The 19,321-nt window shown below is 40.6% G+C and overlaps 1 protein-coding gene across 5 annotated transcripts in view; it reads left to right on the top strand.

The window, feature by feature from the left end:
• FCHSD2 (FCH and double SH3 domains 2) overlaps positions 1-19,321 on the top strand; it is a 305,574-nt gene that overhangs the window by 225,112 nt on the left and 61,141 nt on the right. For all 5 annotated transcript variants that reach the window (NM_014824.3, XM_011545409.2, XM_011545410.3 and 2 more), the window contains one exon: positions 14,569-14,664. In NM_014824.3, coding sequence (NP_055639.2) covers positions 14,569-14,664 — 96 coding nt within the window. The remainder of the gene's footprint in view (positions 1-14,568; positions 14,665-19,321) is intronic.

Below are 19,321 nucleotides of genomic sequence, written 5' to 3'. Positions count from 1 at the left end.
TCAAGACCAGCCTGGCCAATATGGTGAAACCTCATCTCTACTAAAAATACAAAAATTGGCTGGGCGTGGTGGTGGGTGCCTGTAGTCCCAGCTGCTTGGGAGGCTGAGGCAGGAGAATCGCTTGAACCCGAAAGGTGGAGGTTGCAGTGAGCTGAGATCGTACCACTGCACTCCAGCCTGGGCGACAGAGCAACACTCTGCTTCAAAAAAAAAAAAAAAAAAAAAAAAAAAAAAAAAAGAATGAAGTTCAATGAAGTTGTGAACCCTTACCTCACAAAATTAACTCAAAATTGATCAATGACCTAACTTATAAGAGAAAACAGAGATAGATCTTTATGACCTTGATTTGGCAGTGCATTCTCAGATTTGACGTTGAAAGCACAAGTAACGAAAGAAAACATAGATAATTAGACTGTATCAAATTAAAAGCTTTTGTGCATCAAAGGACATTATTAAGAATGTGAAATCAACCCAAATGATGAGAGAAAATATTTGCACATCACATATCTGATAAAAGTTTCATATTCAGAATATACAAAGAACTCTTACAACTCAACATCAGAGACAACCCAATATAAAAGTGAACAAAGGAGGCTGGGCACAGTGGCTCACGCTTGTAATCCCAATACTTTGGAAGGCCAAGGTGGGGGAATTGCTTGAGCTGAGGAGTTCAAGAGCAGCCTAGGCAACATAGCAAGACCCTATCTCTACAAAAAAATTTTTTAAATTAGCCAGACATGGTGCTGCATACCTGTTGTCCCAACTACTCGGGAGGCCCAAGTGGGAGGATTACTTGAGCCCAGGAATTGGAAGCTGCAGCAGGCTATGATCATGCTACTACTGTACTGTAGCCTGGGTGACAGAGCAAGACCCTGTCTCTTTAAAAAAAAAAAAAAAAAAAAAAAAGTTGTGTACCAAAAGGTCAATGAAATTAAAAGCTAGTTTTTTGAAAAGATTAACAAAATTGATAAACCTTTTTTTCCCTTTAATTTTAATTTCAGGGGTACATGTGCAGGATGTGCAGATTATGTAGGTAAACTTGTGTCATGGAGGGTTTGGTACACATTATTTTATCACCCACGTATTAAGCCTAGTACCCATTAGTTATTTTTCCTGATTCTCTCCCTCCTCCCACCCTCCACCCTCTACCCTCTGGTAGGCCCTAGTGTGCGTTGTTCCCATGTGTTCTCATAATTTAGCTCCCACTTACAAATGAGAACATGTGGTATTTGCTTTTCTGTTCCTACATTAGTTTGCTAAGGATAGTGGCCTCCAGCTCCATTCATGTTCCTGCAAAGGACACGATCTCATTCTTTTTTATGGCTGCATAGTGTTCTGTGGTGTATATGTACCACATTTTCTTTTCTTTTCTTTTTGTTTTTTGTTTTTGAGGCAGAGTCTTGCTCTGTCACCCAGGCTGGAGAGCAATGGCGTGATCTCGGCTCACTGCAACCTCTGCCTCCCAGGTTCAAGCGATTCTCCTGCCTCAGCCTCCCGAGTAGCTGGGATTATAGGCGCCCACCACCGCGCCCGGCTAATTTTTGTATTTTTGTAGAGCTGGGGTTTTGCCTTGTTGGCCAGGCTGGTTTTGAACTCCTGACCTCAGGTGATCCACCCACCTTGGCCAAAGTGCTGGGGTTACAGGCATGAGCCACCACGCCCGACCATGTACCACATTTTCTATATCCAGTCTATCATTGGTGGGCATTTAGGTTTGTTCCATGTCTCTGCTATTGTGAATGGTGCTGCAATGAACATAAGCAGGCATATGTCTTTATAATAGAACAATGTATATTCCTTTGGGGTTATACTCAGTAACGGGATTGCTGGGTCAAATGGTTTTTCTGTCTCTAGGTCTTTGAGGAATTGCCACCCTGTCTTCCACGATGGTTGAACTAATTTACACTCCTACCAACAGTGTAAAAGTGTTCCTTTTTCTCCACAACCTTGCCAGCATCCGTTGTTTTTTTAATTTTTTATTGATAACCATTCTTATTGGTGTGAGATGGTATCTCATGGTGGTTTTGATTTGCATTTCTGTAATGATCAGTGATGTTGAGTTTTTTTCATATGATTGCTGGCCACATGTATGTCTTATTTTCAGAAGTGTCTGTTCATGTCGTTTGCCCACTTTTGAATGAAGTTGTTTGTTTCTTTCTTGTAAACTTGTTTAAGTTCCTTATAGATGCTGGGTATTAGACCTTTGTCAGATGCTTAGTTTGCAAAAAAAAAAAAAAAAAAAATTCCCATTCTGTAGGATGCCTTTTTATTCCGTTGATAGTTTATTTTGCTGTGCAGAAGCTCTTAAGTTTTATTAGATCCCATTTGTCAATTTTTGCTTTTGTTGCAATTGCTTTTGGCATCTTCATCATGAAATCTTTGCCCATGCCTATGTCCTGAATGGTATTGCCTAGGTTTTCCTCTAGGGTTTTTATAGTTTCGGGTTTTACATTTAAGTCTTTAGTCCATCTTGAGTTGACTTTTGTATATGGTGTAAGGAAGGGGTCCAGTTTCAATTTTCTGCATATGGCTAGCCAGTTATCCCAGCACCATTTATTAAATAGGGAATCCTTTCCCCATTGCTTTTTGTCAGGTTTGTTGAAGATCAGGTGGTTTTAGGTGTGCGGTCTTATTTCTGGGTTCTCTATTCTGTTTCATTGGTCTATGTGTCTGTTGTACTAGTACCATGCTGTTTGGTTGCTGTGGCCCTGTGGTATAGTTTGAAGTTGGGTAGCGTGATGCCTCTAGCTTTGTTCTTTTTGCTTAGGATTGCCTTGGCTATTCAGAATCTTTTGGTTTCATATGAATTTTAAAATAGTTTTTTCTAGTTCTGCAAAGAATGTCAATGGTAGTTCAATGGGAATAGCATTGAATCTATAAATTGCTTAGGGCAGGCTGGGCACCTGACTCACACCTGTAATCCCAGCACTTTGGGAGGCCACGGTGGGCAGATCACTTTAGGTCAGGAGTTCAAGATCAGTCTGGCCAACATGGTGAAACCCCATCTCCACTAAAAATACAAAAATTAGCCAGGAGTGGTGGCACATGTCTGTAGTCCCAGCTGCTCGGGAGGCTGAGGCAGGAGAATCACTTGAACCCAGGAAGCGCAGTTTGCAGCGAGCTGAGATTATGCCACTGCACTCTAGCCTGGGCGACAGTGAGACTCCTTCTGAAATAAATAAATAAATAAATAAATAGCTTAAGGCAGTATGGCCATTTTTATGATATTGATTTTTCCTGTCCATGAGCATAGTATGTTTTTTCATTTGTTTGTATCATCTCTAATTTATTTGAGCAGCAGTGATTTGTAGTTCTCCTTTTAGAGGTCCTTCAATTCCCTTGTTAGCTGTATTTCTAGGGTTTTTTTTTTTGTTTTTTTTTTGGGTTTTTTTTGGTTTTTTTGTATATCAGTTGTGAAAGGGAGTCCATTAGTAATTTGGCTCTCGGCTTGACTGTTGAAAATCAGCAAACCTTTAGCCAGACTAGTGAGGAAAAAAAGAGAATAACCAAATAAATAAAATCAGAAGTGAAAAAGGAGACATTACAACCAATACCACAGAAATTCAAAGGACCATTAGAGGCTACTGTGAACAATATATGCCAATAAATTGGAAAACCCAGAAGAAATGGATAAATAGGGCTGGGTGTGATGGCTCACACATGTAATCACAGCACTTTGGGAGGCCAAGGTGGGTGGATCACTTGAGGCCAGGAGTTCGCGATCAGCCTGGCCAACATGGCGAAACCCTGTCTCTACTAAAAATACAAAAATTATCCAAGTGTGGTGGCACATGCCTGAAATCCCAGCTGCTCGGGAGGCTGAGGTGTGAAAATCATTTGAACCTGGGAGGCAGAGTTTGCAGTGAGTCAGGATTGCACTGCTGCACTTCATCCTGGGCAACAGACTGAGACTCTGTCTCAAAAAAAGAAAAAAAATGGATAAATTCCTAGATGCATGCAACCTACCAATATGGTTTGGATTTGTGTCCCCACCCAAATCTCATCAAATTATAATAATCCCCAATGTTGGAGGAGGGGCCAGTGGGAGGTAATTAAATCACGGGGATGGAGTTCCCCCTTGCTGTTCTCTTGGTAGTGAGTGAGTCCTCATGAGATCTGGTTGTTTAAAAGTGTGTAGCACCTCCCCCTTCTCTCTTTTCCTCCTGCTCCTGCCACGTAAGACAAAGCTGCTTCCCCTTTGCCTTCTGCCATGATTGTAAGTGTCCGGAAGCCTCCCCAGCCATGCTTCCTGTACAGCCTGCAGAACCATGGGTCAATTAAACTGTTTTTCTTTATAAATTACCCAGTCTCAGGTAGTTCATTATAGCAATGTGAGAATGGACTAATACACCTACCAAGATTGAGCCATGAAGAAATTCAAAACCTGAAGAGATGAAAAAACAAGTAACAAGATCAAAGCTGTAATAGAAAGTCTCTCAGCAAGGAAAAGCCTGGGACTGGGTGGCTTTGCTGCTGAATTTTATCAAACATTTAAAGAATAACTAATACCAATTTTACTCAACCAATTCCAAAAAATAGAGGAGGGGGGAATACTTCCCATCTCATTCTCTAAGGCCAGCATTACCCTGATACCAAAATCAGACAAAGACACATCAAAAAATAAAAACTACAAGCCAGTATCCCTGATGAACATTAATGCAAAAATCCTCAACAAAATACTAGCAAACTGAATTCAACAACGCATTAAAAAGATTATTCATCATGACCAAGTGGAATGTATCCCAAGAATGCAGGGATGGTTCAACATACACAAATCACTCTGTGTGAAGGGCAAAAACTATATGATCATTTCAATTGATACTGAAAAAGCATTTGATAAAATTTAACCTCCCCTTATGATAAAACCCCTCAATAAACTGGGTATAGAGGGAACATATCTCAATACAATAAAAGCCATGTATAACAGACCCACAATGAGTATCATATTGAATGGAGAAAAACTGAATGCGTTTCCTCTAAGATTTGGAACATGACAAGGATGCCCACTTTTACCACTGTTGTTCAACATAGTACTGGAAGTCCTAGCTACAGCAGTCAGACAAAAGAAAGAAAGAGCATCCAAAGTGGAAAGGAAGAAGTCAAATTATTATTCTTTGCAGATGATGTAGGCTTATATTTTGAAAAACCTGAAGACTCCACCAAAATATTCAAACTGATAAACACCTTTAGTAAAGTTGCAGGATACAAAATCAACATACAAAAATAAGTAGCATTTCTATATGTGAACAGTAAGCATTCTGAAAAATAAATCAAGAAAGTAATGTCATTTACAATAGCTACAAATACATTAAAATACATAGGAATTAACCAAAGAAGTGAAAGGTCTCTTAAAATGAAAGAAATTGGGAGGCTGAGACAGGAGAATCGCTTGAATTCAAGAGATGGAGGTTGCAGTGAGCCAGGATTGTGCCAGTGCACTCCAGCCTAGGCAACAAAAGCGAACATATGTAACTAACCTGCACATTGTGCACATGTACCCTAAAACTTAAAGTATAATAATAATAAAAATAAAAAAGGAAGGAAGGAATAAATTGAAGAGGACACAAACAAATGGAAAGATATTCCATGTTGATGGATTGGGAGAATAAATATTCTTAAAATGTCAATACTACCCAAAGCAGTCTACAGATTCAATGCAGTCTCTTTCAAAATACCAGTGCCATTCTTCACAGAGATAGAAAAAGCAATCCTAAAATTTTGACAGAACCACAAAAGACCCAGAATAACCAAAGCTATCCAGCTATCCTGAACAAAAAGAACTCAAGGAATCATATTGTGTGACTTCTAATTATACTACAAAGCTATAGTAACCAAAACAGCATGGTACTGGCATAAAAACAAATACCAGTGGAACAGAATAGAGAACCCAGAATCAAATCTACCTATCTGCAGTGAACTCATTTTTGACAAAGTTGTCAAGAACATACATTGGAGAAAGGACAATCTCTTCAATAAATGGTGCTGGAGAAACTGGATATATTCATATGCAGAAGAATTAAGACCCCTATCTCTTGCCATATACAAAAATCAAATCAAAATGGATTAAAGACTTAAATCTAAGACCTCAAACTATGAAACTACTAAAAGAAAACACTGAGAAACTCTCTAAGACATAGGACTAGGCAAAGATTGAGTAATACCCTGCAAGCACAGGCAACCAAAGCAAAAATGGACAAGTGGGATCACATCAAGTTAAAAAGTTTCTGCACAGCAAAGGAAATAATCAACAAAGTGAAGCAACAACCCACAGAATGGGAGACAATATTTGCAAAATATCCATCTGACAGAGGATTAATAATGAGAATATATAAGGAGCTCAAACAACTCTATAGGAAATTTTTTTTTTTTTTTTTTTTTTAGTATTTATTGATCATTCTTGGGTGTTTCTCGGAGAGGGGGATGTGGCAGGGTCATAGGATAATAGTGGAGAGAAGGTCAGCAGATAAACACGTGAACAAAGGTCTCTGGTTTTCCTAGGCAGTGGTCCCTGCAGCCTTCCGCAGTGTTTGTATCCCTGGGTACTTGAGATTAGGGAGTGGTGATGACTCTTAACGAGCATGCTGCCTTCAGGCATCTGTTTAACAAAGCACATCTTGCACCACCCTTAATCCATTTAACCCTGAGTTGACAGAGCACATGTTTCAAAGAGCATGGGGTTGGGGGTAAGGTTATAGATTAACAGCATCCCAAGGCAGAAGAATTTTTCTTATTACAGAACAAAATGGAGTCTCCTATGTCTACTTCTTTCTACACAGACACAGTAACAATCTGATCTCTCTTTTCCCCACATTTCCCCCTTTTCTTTTCGACAAAACCGCCATCGTCATCATGGCCCGTTCTCGATGGTCGCTGTCTCTTCGGAGCTGTTGGGTACACCTCCCAGACGGGGCGGCCGGACAAAGGCGCTCCTCACTTCCCAGATGGGGTGGCCGGGCAGAGGCTCTCCTCACATCCCAGATGATGGGCAGCCAGGCAGAGGCGCTCCTCACCTCCCAGACTGGGCGGCCAGGCAGAGGTGCTCCTCACTTCCCAGATGGGGCAGCCGGGCAGAGGTGCTCCTCACTTCCCAGACGATGGGTGGCCGGGCAGAGGGGCTCCTCACCTCCCAGATGGGGCGGCCGGGCAGAGGTGCTCCTCACTTCCCAGACGGGGTGGCCGGGCAGAGGCGCTCCTCACTTCCTAGATGGGGCGGCCGGGCAGAGGTGCTCCTCACCTCCCAGACAATGGGCAGCTGGGCAGAGGTACTCCTCACATCTCAGATGATGGGCAGCCGGGCAGAGGTGCTCCTCACTTCCCAGATGGGGCGGCTGCCGGGCAGAGGCACTCCTCACTTCCCAGATGGGGCGGCTGCCGGGCAGAGGTGCTCCTCACTTCTCAGACGGGGCGGCCGGGCAGAGGTGCTCCTCAGTTCCCAGATGGGGCGGCCAGGCAGAGGCACTCCTCACCTACCAGACGGGGTGGCGGCCAGGCAGAGGCGCTCCTCACATCCCAGACGGGGCGGCCAGGCAGAGGCGCTCCCCACTTCCCAGACAGGGTGGCGGCCGGCCAGAGGCACTCCTCACATCCCAGATGATGGACAGCCAGGCAGAGATGCTCCTCACTTCCTAGACGGGGTGGCAGCTGGGCAGAGGCGCTCCTCACTTCCCAGACAGGGCGGCCGGGCAGAGGGGCTCCTCACATCCCAGATGATGGGCGGCCAGGCAGAGACGCTCCTCACTTCCTAGATGGGGTGGCGGCTGGGCAGAGGCTGTAATCTTAGCACTTTTGGAGGCCAAGGCAGGCAGCTGGGAGGTGGAGGTTGTAGCGAGCCGAGATCACGCCACTGCACTCCAGCCTGGGCAACATTGAGCATTGAGTGAGCGAGACTCCATCTGCAATCCCAGCACCTCAGGAGGCCGAGGCGGGCAGATCACTCGAGGTCAAGAGCTGGAGACCAGCCCGGTCAACAGGGCGAAACCCCGTCTCCACCAAAAATACAAAAACCAGTCAGGCGTGGCGGCGTGTGCCTGCAATCCCAGACACTCAGCAGGCCAAGGCAGGAGAATCACGGGAGCCCAAGGCAGGGAGGTTGCAGCGAGCTGAGATCACGGCAGTATCGGCAACAGAGGGAGACCGGAGAGATGGAGGGGGGAGGGGAAGGGAGAGGTGGAAAAAATTTAATAATTCGATTTAAAAATGGGGAAAAGATCTGAATAGACATTTCTCAAAAAAGGACATATAAATAGCAGACAGGGCAACATGCAATGGCTCACACCTGTAATCCCAGCACTGTAGGAGGCCAAGGTGGGCAGATCGCTTGAGCCCAGGAGTTAGAGACCAGCCTGGGCAACATGGTGAAACCCCATCTCTACAAAAAGTACAAAACTATAGCGGGGCATAGTGGCATATGTCTGTAGGAGGCTGAGATGGGAGGATCTCTTGAGCCAGGGAGGCAGAGGCTGCAGTGAGCTGAGATTGTGCCACTGCACTCTAGCCTGGGTGAGACTCTGTCTCAAAAAATAATGATAAAAATAAGTGGCAGACAGGCATATGGAAAGGTACTCAACATCATTAATCATCAGAGAAATGCAAATCAAAACTACAGTAAGATATTATATCATCCTAGTTCAGGTGGCTTTTATCCAAAAGATAGGCAGTAACACAGATGCTGGTGAGGATGTGGAGAAAAGGGAGCCCTTGTATACTGTTGCTGGGAATGTAAATTAGTACAACCGCTATGGAAAACAGTTTGGCAGTTCCTCAACAAACTAAAAATAGAACTGCCTTATGATTCAGCAATCTCACTGCTAGGTATACACCCAAAAGAAAGGAAATCAATATATCAAAGAGATATCTGCACTCTCATGTTGATTGCAGCACTATTCACAATAGCCAAGATTTAGAAGCAACCTAAGTGTCCATCAACAGATGAACGGATAGAGAAAATGTGGTATATATACACAATGGAGTATTATTCAGCCATGAAAAAGAATGAGATCCTGTCATTTACAACAACATAGATAAAACTGGAGGTCATTATGTTAAGTGAAATAAACTAGGCACAGAAAGACAAATTTCACATGTTCTCACTTATTTGTGAGAGTTAAAAAATTAAAACAAATTGAACTCATGGAGATAAAATGTAGAAGGTTGTTTACCAGAGTCTGGGAAGGGTAGTCAGATGTGGGGGGAGCCAGGATGGCTAATGGGTATAAAAAATATAGTTAGATAGAATGAATAAGATCTATATTCGATGACACAATAAGGTGACCACGTCAGCAATAGTTTATTATACATTTAAAAATAACAAAACCAGCCAGGCATGGTGGCTCACGCCTGTAATCCCAGCACTTTGGGAGGCCAAGGTGGGCAGATGACGAGGTCAGGAGATCGAGACCATCCTGGCTAACATGGTGAAACCCTGTCTCTACTAAAAATACAAAAAATTAGCAGCCAGGCGTGGTGGCGGGTGCCTGTAGTCCCAGCTACTCGAGAGGCTGAGGCAGGAGTATGGCATGAACCTGGGAGGTGGAGGTTGCAGTGAGCCAAGATCGTGCCTGGGAGACAAAGCCAGACTCCGTCTCAAGAAAAAAAAAAAAAAAAAAAACCCACGTGATTATCTCAATAGATGCAGAAAAGGCCTTCAACAAAATTTAGCAGCCCTTCATGCTAAAAACTCTCAATAAACTAGGTATTGTTGGAACATATCTCAAAATAATAAGAGTTATTTATGACAGACTCACAGCCAATATTATACTGAATGGGCAAAAACTGGAAGCATTCCCTTTGAAAACCAGCACAAGATAAGGATGCTCTCTCTCACCATTTGTATTCAACATAGTATTGGAAGTTCTGGCTAAGGCAATCAGGCAAGAGAAAGAAATAAAGGGTATTCAATTAGGAAAAGAGTAAGTCAAATTGTGTCTTTTTGCAGATGACATGATTGTATATTTAGAAAACCCCATTGTCTCAGCCCAAAATCTCCTTAAGCTGATAAGCAACTTCAGCAAAGTCTCAGGATACAAAATTAATGTGCAAAAATCACAGGCATTCCAGCAGTAATAGAGAGCCAAATAATGAGTGAACTCCCATTCACAATTACTACAAAGTGAATAAAATACCTAGGAATCCAACTTACAAGGGATGTGAAGGGCTCAACGAAATAAAAGAGGACGCAAACAAATGGCCATACTGCCCAAGGTAATTTATGGATTCAATGCTGTCCCCATCAAGCTACCACTGAGTTTTTCACAGAATTGGAAAAAACTACTTTAAAGTTCATATGGAACCGAAAAAGAGCCCGCATAGCCAAGACAATCCTAAGCAAAAAGAACAAAGCTGGAGACATCGTGCTACCTGACTTCAAACTATACTACAAGGCTACAGTAACCAAAACAGCATGGCACTGGTACCAAAACAGATACATAGACCAGTGGAACAGAACAAATGCCTCAGAAATAACACCACACACCTACAACCATCTGATCTTTGATAAACCTGACAAAAACAAGAAATGGGGAAAGGATTCAGTTTAATAAATGGTGCTGGGAAAACTGGCTAGCTATATGTAGAAAGCTTAAATTGGATCCCTTCCTTACACTTTATACAAAAATTAACTCAAGATGGATTAAAGACTTAAATGTAAGTCCTAACACCATAAAAACCCTAGAAGAAAACCTAGGCAATACCATTCAGGACATAGGCATGGGCAAAGACTTCATGACTAAAACACCGAAAGCAATGGCAACAAAAACCAAAATAGACAAATAGTATCTAATTAAACTAAAGAGCTTCTGCACAGCAAAAGAAACTATCATCAGAGTGAACAGGCACCCTACTGAATGGGAGAAAATCTTTGCAATCTACCCATCTGACAAAGGGCTAGTATCCAGAATCTACAAAGGACTTAAACAAATTTACAAGAAAAAAACAACGCCATCAAAAAGTGGGCAAAGGATATGAACAGACACTTCTCAAAAGAAGACATTTATGCAGCCAACAGACATGAAAAAATGCTCATCATCACTGGTCATCAGAGAAATGCAAATCAAAACCACAATGAGATACTATGTCACAACAGAATGGCGATCATTAAAAAGGAAACAACAGATGCTGGAGAGGATGTGGAGAAATAGGAACACTTTTACACTGTTGGTGGGAGTGTAAATTAGTTCAACCATTGTGGAAGGCAGTGTGGCAACTCCTCAAGGATCTAGAACTAGAAATACCATTTGACCCAGCAATCCCATTACTGGGTATATACCCAAAGGATTATAAATCATTCTGCTATAAAGACACATGCACACATATGTTTATTGCGGCACTATTCACAATAGCAAAGACTTGGAGCCAACCCAAATGTCCATCAATGATAGACTGGATTAAGAAAATATAGCACATATACACCATGGAATACTATGCAGCCATAAAAAGGGGTGAGTTCATGTCCTTTGCAGGGACATTGATGAAGTTGGAAACCAATATTCTAAGCAAACTATCACAAGGACAGAAAACCAAACACTGCATGTTCTCACTCATAGATGGGAGTTGAACAATGAGAACACATGGACACAGGGTAGGGAACATCACGCACTGGGACCTGTCGGGGGGTGGGGGGCTAGGGGAAGGATAGCATTGGGAGAAATACCTAACGTAAATGATGAGTTGATGGGTGCAGCAAACCAGCATGGCACATGTATACCTGTGTAACAAACCTGCACGTTGTGCCTATGTACCCTAGAACTGAAAGTATAATAAAAATAAAAAAGTATAATTGGATTTTTTGTAATACAAAGTAAGGATAAATGCTTGAGGTGGTGGATACCCCATTTACCTTGATATGATTATTACACATTGTAGTCCTGTATCAAAATATCTTATGTACCCCATAAATATAAATACCTACTATATACCCACAGAGATTAAAAGTTAAAACTTTTTGAAAAAAAGGAGAGCGGGACACAGGCACAGGGAGAAGATCACGTGAAGATACCAGAAGAAGGTGGCCAACTACAAGCCGACAATAATTACCGTCAGAAGAAATTAAACCTGTCAACACTCGATCTTGGACTTCTACAAAGTCACTTTTGCCAAATGAAGTAACATTCACAGGTTTTGGGAATTAGGACATGAACATATCTTTTGAGAGGCTACCATTCAGCCCACTACAGCTGTTTGTAAAAAGAAGCAAGCTTCCTGATGGAAGTAAACGTTACCTTCCCAAGAAAATAAATAAATAAACAAGACAAAAAACACCCATTCCAATGTATAGGAAATACTGGAAACAGAATACTACAAGGATGTAATAAAAATTACATGTTTGTCATTTCTTCCCAGACTACAGGAAACTCTACAGAACAAAAACCCAGTTTCTTCAACAATTAAATTGCAAGAGGGAGGAAAGGAGAGATAGATGAAGAAACTAGTATATGAAAAGAAAGCTAAACAGCATCGTGCAATTGCACTGTGGGGGCTGTATTTGTATCCTGATTTGAAAAACTTTTTTGTAAAAAAAAGAAACAATCAGGGAAATTTGAGAACTTGTTGCTTTGTAAGTACTTACTGTAAATTGTAATATGGATATATTTTCTTAAAAGAGTCCTTTTAGATGTCATACTGAAATATTTATAAACTAAATGATAGGTCTGGAACTTGTTTCAATATAATTAGGGGTGGAAGAGGTAGGTGGGCTTAAAGATGAAAGAATATTGGCCATAAGGGGATGTTTTGGAAACTGGGTGATGAAGACATGAGGATACATTCTATTGTTGTCTTTACATATGTATTTGAAATTTTCCATAACAAAGAGTTTAAAATTTTAAAAGGTTGAAATCTCCTCCTCAAGAGGAACAAAACAAAAAGGTTAATAGTTTTGAGGACAAGTTTGGCAACTAGAGAGGTGATCCTCTTAGCTTTTCTGCATGGTGATTAGAGAGGCTCTGAGGGCTGTGTAATGAGCTTTCACAGCTATTCTAGCTTAAAACTGGAATCCAAGAAGAGAACAAAGTACATTTCTCTTTGAGAATATGTTTATTCAGCCAGCCTTCCCAGACCATATTCTGACAACTCCTCACCTCATCTCACCCCATCATCGGCCTGGATTAAATATCACCTTGTTCTCTTCTCGTACCCTTTACACACTCCGTGGTGTATTTTAATTATGTAGTCTGTTTGGTTCGCCCAGTTCCCAGATTATAAATTCTTTGCAGATACTAACCTTGTTTGTTTGTCTTATTCATCTATATATCCCCCTTATCCCTGTGTTTCATGTTGGACCTGGTAAACTCTCTCAATAAATGGTTGGTGGAGTGAGGGGGAGGGAAGCAGTAGAGAAATGGGATTGCACTGGTAAACAAAATGCAATATACACCTACTACTTTTTGCGTCTCCTCAATTATCCCTTTTCCCAGGACTACTAAAGTAGAGGTACAGAGTTACTTTGAACTTTTTTTTTCTTCTGCCCATCTTCTAGCAGAGGTGCTAATGGGCTATAATATACTGCAAATGAAAGACAAGTAAGGGGTAAGCGATATGGTAGCAAAATAGAAAGTGGGGTTTTTTGCCCCATCAGATGCCGATTTCCACTCTTTCCCAAGGTATGTAAATGCAATGAATTCTTTTCAGATGGCTGCCTTTCTGTGCTATTTGTTATGCTGCCTTATCAGAATTCTCCTTTTATAGAAATTCCAGGCCGGGCGCGGTAGCTCACGCCTGTAATCCCAGCACTTTAGGAGGCCGAGGCCGGTGGATCACGAGGTCAGGAGATCGAGACCATCCTGGCTAACAGGGTGAAACCCCATCTCTACTAAAAAAATACAAAAAAATTAGCTGGGCGCAGTGGCGGGCGCCTGTAGTCCCAGCTACTCGGGAAGCTGAGGCAGGAGAATGGCATGAACCCGGGAGGCGGAGCTTGCAGTGAGCCGAGCTTGCACCACTGTACTCCAGCCCAGGCGACAGAGCGAGACTCGTCTCAAAAAATAAATAAATAAATAAATAAATATATAAATAAATAAATAAATAAATTCCTTTCTAGCCTGTCTTCTTGGTATGCTGTAAGATGGTAATTAGAGTGTAACCTCCTCAAGAAGGTGCTGAGAAATACTCTACAAACACTATTTGGTGCTGTGGATGGGATTATCTGGCAGTTTCCTAGTGGATGGCAATGGCCATGAAACAGACTTTAAGAGGCCCATACAATTTTAGAGCTGGGAGAGATGGCAAAGACCAATGTGTTTCCTTATCTGCACACTATTCTGTGTTACACAGAATAGCTTTTTGTGTAAAAACTATCTTCTTGCTTTCTTAAGGTATTATATATTGTCCAGTCCCCAAATCTGATCTAGTTTCTAAACTATCACTTTCCAAATTTATTTTTGAGAAAATAGGACAGATAAATAATAACCATTGTCTAAAATGAAAAATAAAATGCGTAACACCATTTCTTTTTTACCACAGTGTTGGATGATTTCTCATTTGTATAGAAAATAGCAGAATAAATCTTAAACTTTATAATGTAATTGGACATTTTAACCTCATTAAAGACCTAAAGATATTTTATTTTCTCTTTAGGTGGTCCGGGACTACAATCTTCAGCTGTTTTTGCAAGAAAACGCTGTATTTCACAAACCCCAGCCCTTCCAGTTCCAGCCTTGTGACAGTGATACTGTAAGGGAATTATAGATTTTCATTTCATGTGTTGTTCAGTTGTGTTTGTGCTTAAGTAACAGTTACCCTTGGCATAGACAGACAGAAAAAGCTGAGTATATCTCATCAATTTTATAACAAAACTGTGAGGACACAGAATAATTATGACTTTTTTTTTCTGAATTGTGGCCAAGAAACTCAGTGTCTTTATGCTAGCAACCTTCTACCAAATGAGGTTAAGTTATAAGACAAGTTACTGAAACCTGAAAACAACTGAGGGAAGAAGAAAAATATTCAATACATTTACTCAAATGTAAATTATATTTTCCCTGAAATTTTTTATGTTGTACCCCTCCACAGAAATCAGTGGTTAAATTTTAACCAGAGTAGGCCGTGCGCTGTGGCTCACGCTTGTAATCTCAGCACTTTGGGAGGCCGAGGCAGGTGGATGACCTGAGGTCAGGAGTTCAAGACCAGCCTGGCCAACATGACAAAACCCTGTCTCTACTAAAAATACAAAAATTAGCTGGGCTTGGTCGTGGGCCCCTGTAATCCCAGCTACTCAGGAGGCTAAAGCAGGAGAATCACTTGAACCTGGGAGGCAGAGGTTACAGTGAGCCGAGATCACACCACTGCACTCCAGCCTGGATGACAGAGTGAGATTCTGTCTCAAAACAAACAAACAAACAAAAAAAAAACCAGAATAGAATTAATAAATGGAATAATGAACATGTGTATGAAATATTTTGGTTGGTCTTATAAAAGATTATAGGCCTTTTATAATTCCTTTCAGATTTCTTAGAATATTAAAGCACTTACATAAACCTCAAATTAGCAATTTTTTTAATGCCTCTACCCCTCTGCCATTTTTTTTATGGTAGCAGAATACACATAACACAAAAATTACCATTTTTAACCATAGTTAAAGTGTGAGATTGATTCACTGTCACTTACTACATTTCCAGTGCTGTGCACTGTCATAACTTGGTAGTTCCACAACATTTCATCACTTTAAAAAGAAATCCTGACCCCATTAAGCAGTCACTCTCCCTATACTCCTCACCTCAGCCCCTGACATCATTAATCTACTTTCTGTCTGTAGATTCCAACTGGCAATTTTTGTTTTTATTTTTACTTATTTATTATTATTATTATTATTTTATTTTTGAGACAGGGTCTCACTCTGTCACTGGGGCTGGAGGGCAGTAGCGTGATCTCAGCTCACTACAGCCCCCCTCTCCTGGGCTCAAGTGATCCTCCCACATCAGCCTCCCGATTAGCTGGGGCCACAGGCACGCACCACTGTGCCTGGCTATTTTCTTTGTATTTTCAATAGAGATGGGGGGGTCTCACCATGTTGCCCAGGCTGGTCTCGAACTCCTGAGTTCAAGCCACCTACCCACTTTAGTCTCCCAAAGTGCTGGCATTACGGACGTGAGCCACGATGTCCGGCCCCAATTGGCAATTGTTTAAAAGCATACAGTAATCGTCCTTGAGTTTATGGGAAATGTTTGCCATTATTTAAATTTTTAAAAAAGAACAAAAATGCTAATTTGGTAACATAAAAATTGAAATTTAACTTCTGCAAAATGAGAAGGCACGCATTGGCATTATTAGTACATTCTGTCAATGTAGGCAAGCCAAAAGGAAAATCAAATTATATTCATAAAGTATTTTGATAAATTTAGAACCAGAACCAAGGGAGTTTATGATATAGTTCCAGAGTTTAATGGTATCAGTTTAATAGAAACACATTTGCCAGCGATATCTTCATTACTTTTCTTATACTTTAAGTAGCTCTGTTAGCAGCTATATAAAGAAATGTAGGAAATCAGCATTTCCCTCTATATTACAACCTTTGCCCTTTATAGTAGTGCTTTTTTTTTTTAATCAAATCAGCTTTTGCCAATGACTTATTCACATTCTCCTGTGATTTGACTTCTTTGAAGCCTGGGAGGGATGAAGCAGAGCATTAGAAGATACAGGGTATAGACAAGTGTGTCAAGCTTGTCTTAAAATTATGACTAATTTGATGTTATTTTATCATTGCTATTTTCCACAGAAAAAATCAGAATAACAGTGACTCTCATCTCACTTTTTCCCAGCCCAACTGCAGCCCTAAATCTTTTGTTTCTAAACACTGTGCTAAATGTTCTTAGGTGTTGTGTCCTTGTTTGCCTTAAATTTCTAACTCTATGCTATGTTTTTTGTCCTTGTGCAATCTTTACTGGGCAGAGTTTAAAAGCCGCCCAACTGGTGGATATTGAGCTCTCCCCTGTCAGTGCTCTGAGAATGACCATAGCTGAGGTATATGGGGTGTGGGTCAAGGGCGGGAGGGATGGGAAGTGTGGGTTTGCATGTTAATGAAGGGTGGGACCTGGTGTTGGGATGAAAGTTATGTATATACATGTATAAGAGGCCCTGATGCACCAGCTGTGTTTTCTCTTATAAATTAAGAATTTCCTTCCCTGTTTATAGTGAAGAAATTGAGCTACTCATTTTTCATCTTGTGTGAAGCACCTTAATCTTCTTCAACAGGTGTGCTGGAGAGAACCTTAGAGCTAATCTTGTCTTTATTAAAGGGGAAACTGTAGCCTAGTAAGGGAGACTTGTCCAGAGTCATACGGTAAATTAATGACATGTTACTGTTGTGATTGCAATAGTAATGTTATGTCTGCTGTGCTATTCTGTCTTCTAAGAAGAAATGTTCAGGACTTGGGAAGCAATTAGTTTTTTCATAATGGAAAAAGATAAATGCCTATGATTTTAAAAAATCATTCCAGACCTTCAATCATTTAAAAAGTCTTTTTTTTTTTTTTTTTTTTTTTAAGATAGGGTCTTACTCTGTCACCCAGACTGAAGTGCAATGGCATAATCACGGCTCACTGCGCCTCAACCTCCTGGGCTCGAGCAGTCCTTCCACCTCAGCTTCCCGAGTAACTGGGACTACAGCTGATTTTTATTTTATTTTGTTTTATTTTATTTTTATTTTTGGTAGAGAGGGGATGTCACCATGTTGCTTAGGCTGGCCTTGAACTCCTGGGCTCAAAAGATCCTCCTGCCTCAGCCAGACATGTATTATTGTCTGGCTCTGATTATAATCATCCTAGTGGATATGAAATAGTATCTCGTGGTTCTGGTTTGCATTTCCCTAATGACTAATGATGTTGAGTATCTTCATGAGTGTATTAGCCACTCATATATCTTCTTTGGTAAAATGTCTATTCAAACCTTGTTTCTATTTTTTTATTGGATTGTGTCTACTTGTTATGAATTAGATCTTGAAGATGAGTTGCAGTTTACTCTGCAAAGAGGGAGAAGCAACATGCCAGGAAGCAAAAACAAAAATTGAAAAGAATAAAAATAATAGGTGACATTCATTGAACATTTATTTCGTGCTAGACATTTTTCTAATGGCATTACCTATATTAATTTATTTTATCTTCACAACAACCCTATATTGTAGGTGCTATTTTTAATCCTTCTTTTACAGTTGAGGAAACTAAAGTTAAGAAATCTGGCTGGGTGCAGAGGCTTACGCCTGTAATCCCAACACTTTGGAAGGCCAAGGTGGGTGCATTGCTTGAGCCCAGGAGTTCGAGACCAGCCTGGGCAACACGGCGAAACCCTTTCTCTAAAAAAAAAATAATAATAATAATACAGAAAACTAGCTGGGCATGGTAGCACACACCTGTAGTCCCTGCTACTCAGGAAGCTGAAGTGGGAGGATCACTTGAGCCCGGGAGGTGGAGGTTGCAATGAGCCGTGATCACACCACTGCATTCCATCCTGGGTGACAGAGCAAGACCCTGTCTTTAAAAAAAAAAAAAAAAAATAGAAAGAAAAGCAATTTGCTTTGCTCAAGGTCACTCAGCTAATAAGCATTAGAGCCAGAAAAGTTTGAAAGTACATGACTATACCTGAAATAGCAAGTAGACTTGATGATGAAAGTGGGATGCAACCAGGTGTTATTTTTGAGTTTTATATATGATGGTAAATGGAGAACTATATACTCAGGTAAGATAGTAATAGGATGAGATCCATTGCAGGGGCAGGACAGTATTGTTCTTTTATTTTGAATTTTATAGTTTGAATTAGGAATTTTGAACTGCTTATGGGTTTAACAAATTTATTTTTCATTTACTAAGCAGACACTTACATATACTTTGCATATGCCCTTGCCTTACAGGCAAGAGAATTCAGCAAATATTTTATCTAAATTTACGTAAGATATAGTTAGGAAAGTTATAGGACTTTTAAAGTTACCACTGTGATAAAATGTAACTCTTCTGATGATTTTCATAAACTGTCTTAAAATTTTTTTAACTTTTTAATATAACCCATTTCAAACTACACTGTTTTCCCTACAAAAGTCCAAGACACCCAATTGAATATGTATAGTCACAGTATTATTATAGTAATTTAATTAGGGCTTTTTTGGGTAGAATTTTAATATTAACCAAAAGATGACTACAAGTGACAGTGACCAATGGCAAGCTTTGTTCTTATGTAGTAACTTAATAGCTGTCTCATGGTTAATACTGAAGGATTTTCTTATCTATATTTCCATAAGAGAGTTACTGATTTCTAAAGTGTTCTTTCTTTATATCTTCAATTATCATTTCTCAGATGATACCAGAAAGCCAGAGCTCTTTCTAGAAAAAGTAAAATACATCTT

Source organism: Homo sapiens, chromosome 11, assembly GCF_000001405.40.
Source record: "Homo sapiens chromosome 11, GRCh38.p14 Primary Assembly".
In the NCBI taxonomy this organism is placed as follows: domain Eukaryota; kingdom Metazoa; phylum Chordata; class Mammalia; order Primates; family Hominidae; genus Homo; species Homo sapiens.
This window is presented reverse-complemented; position numbering and strand designations above follow the sequence as displayed.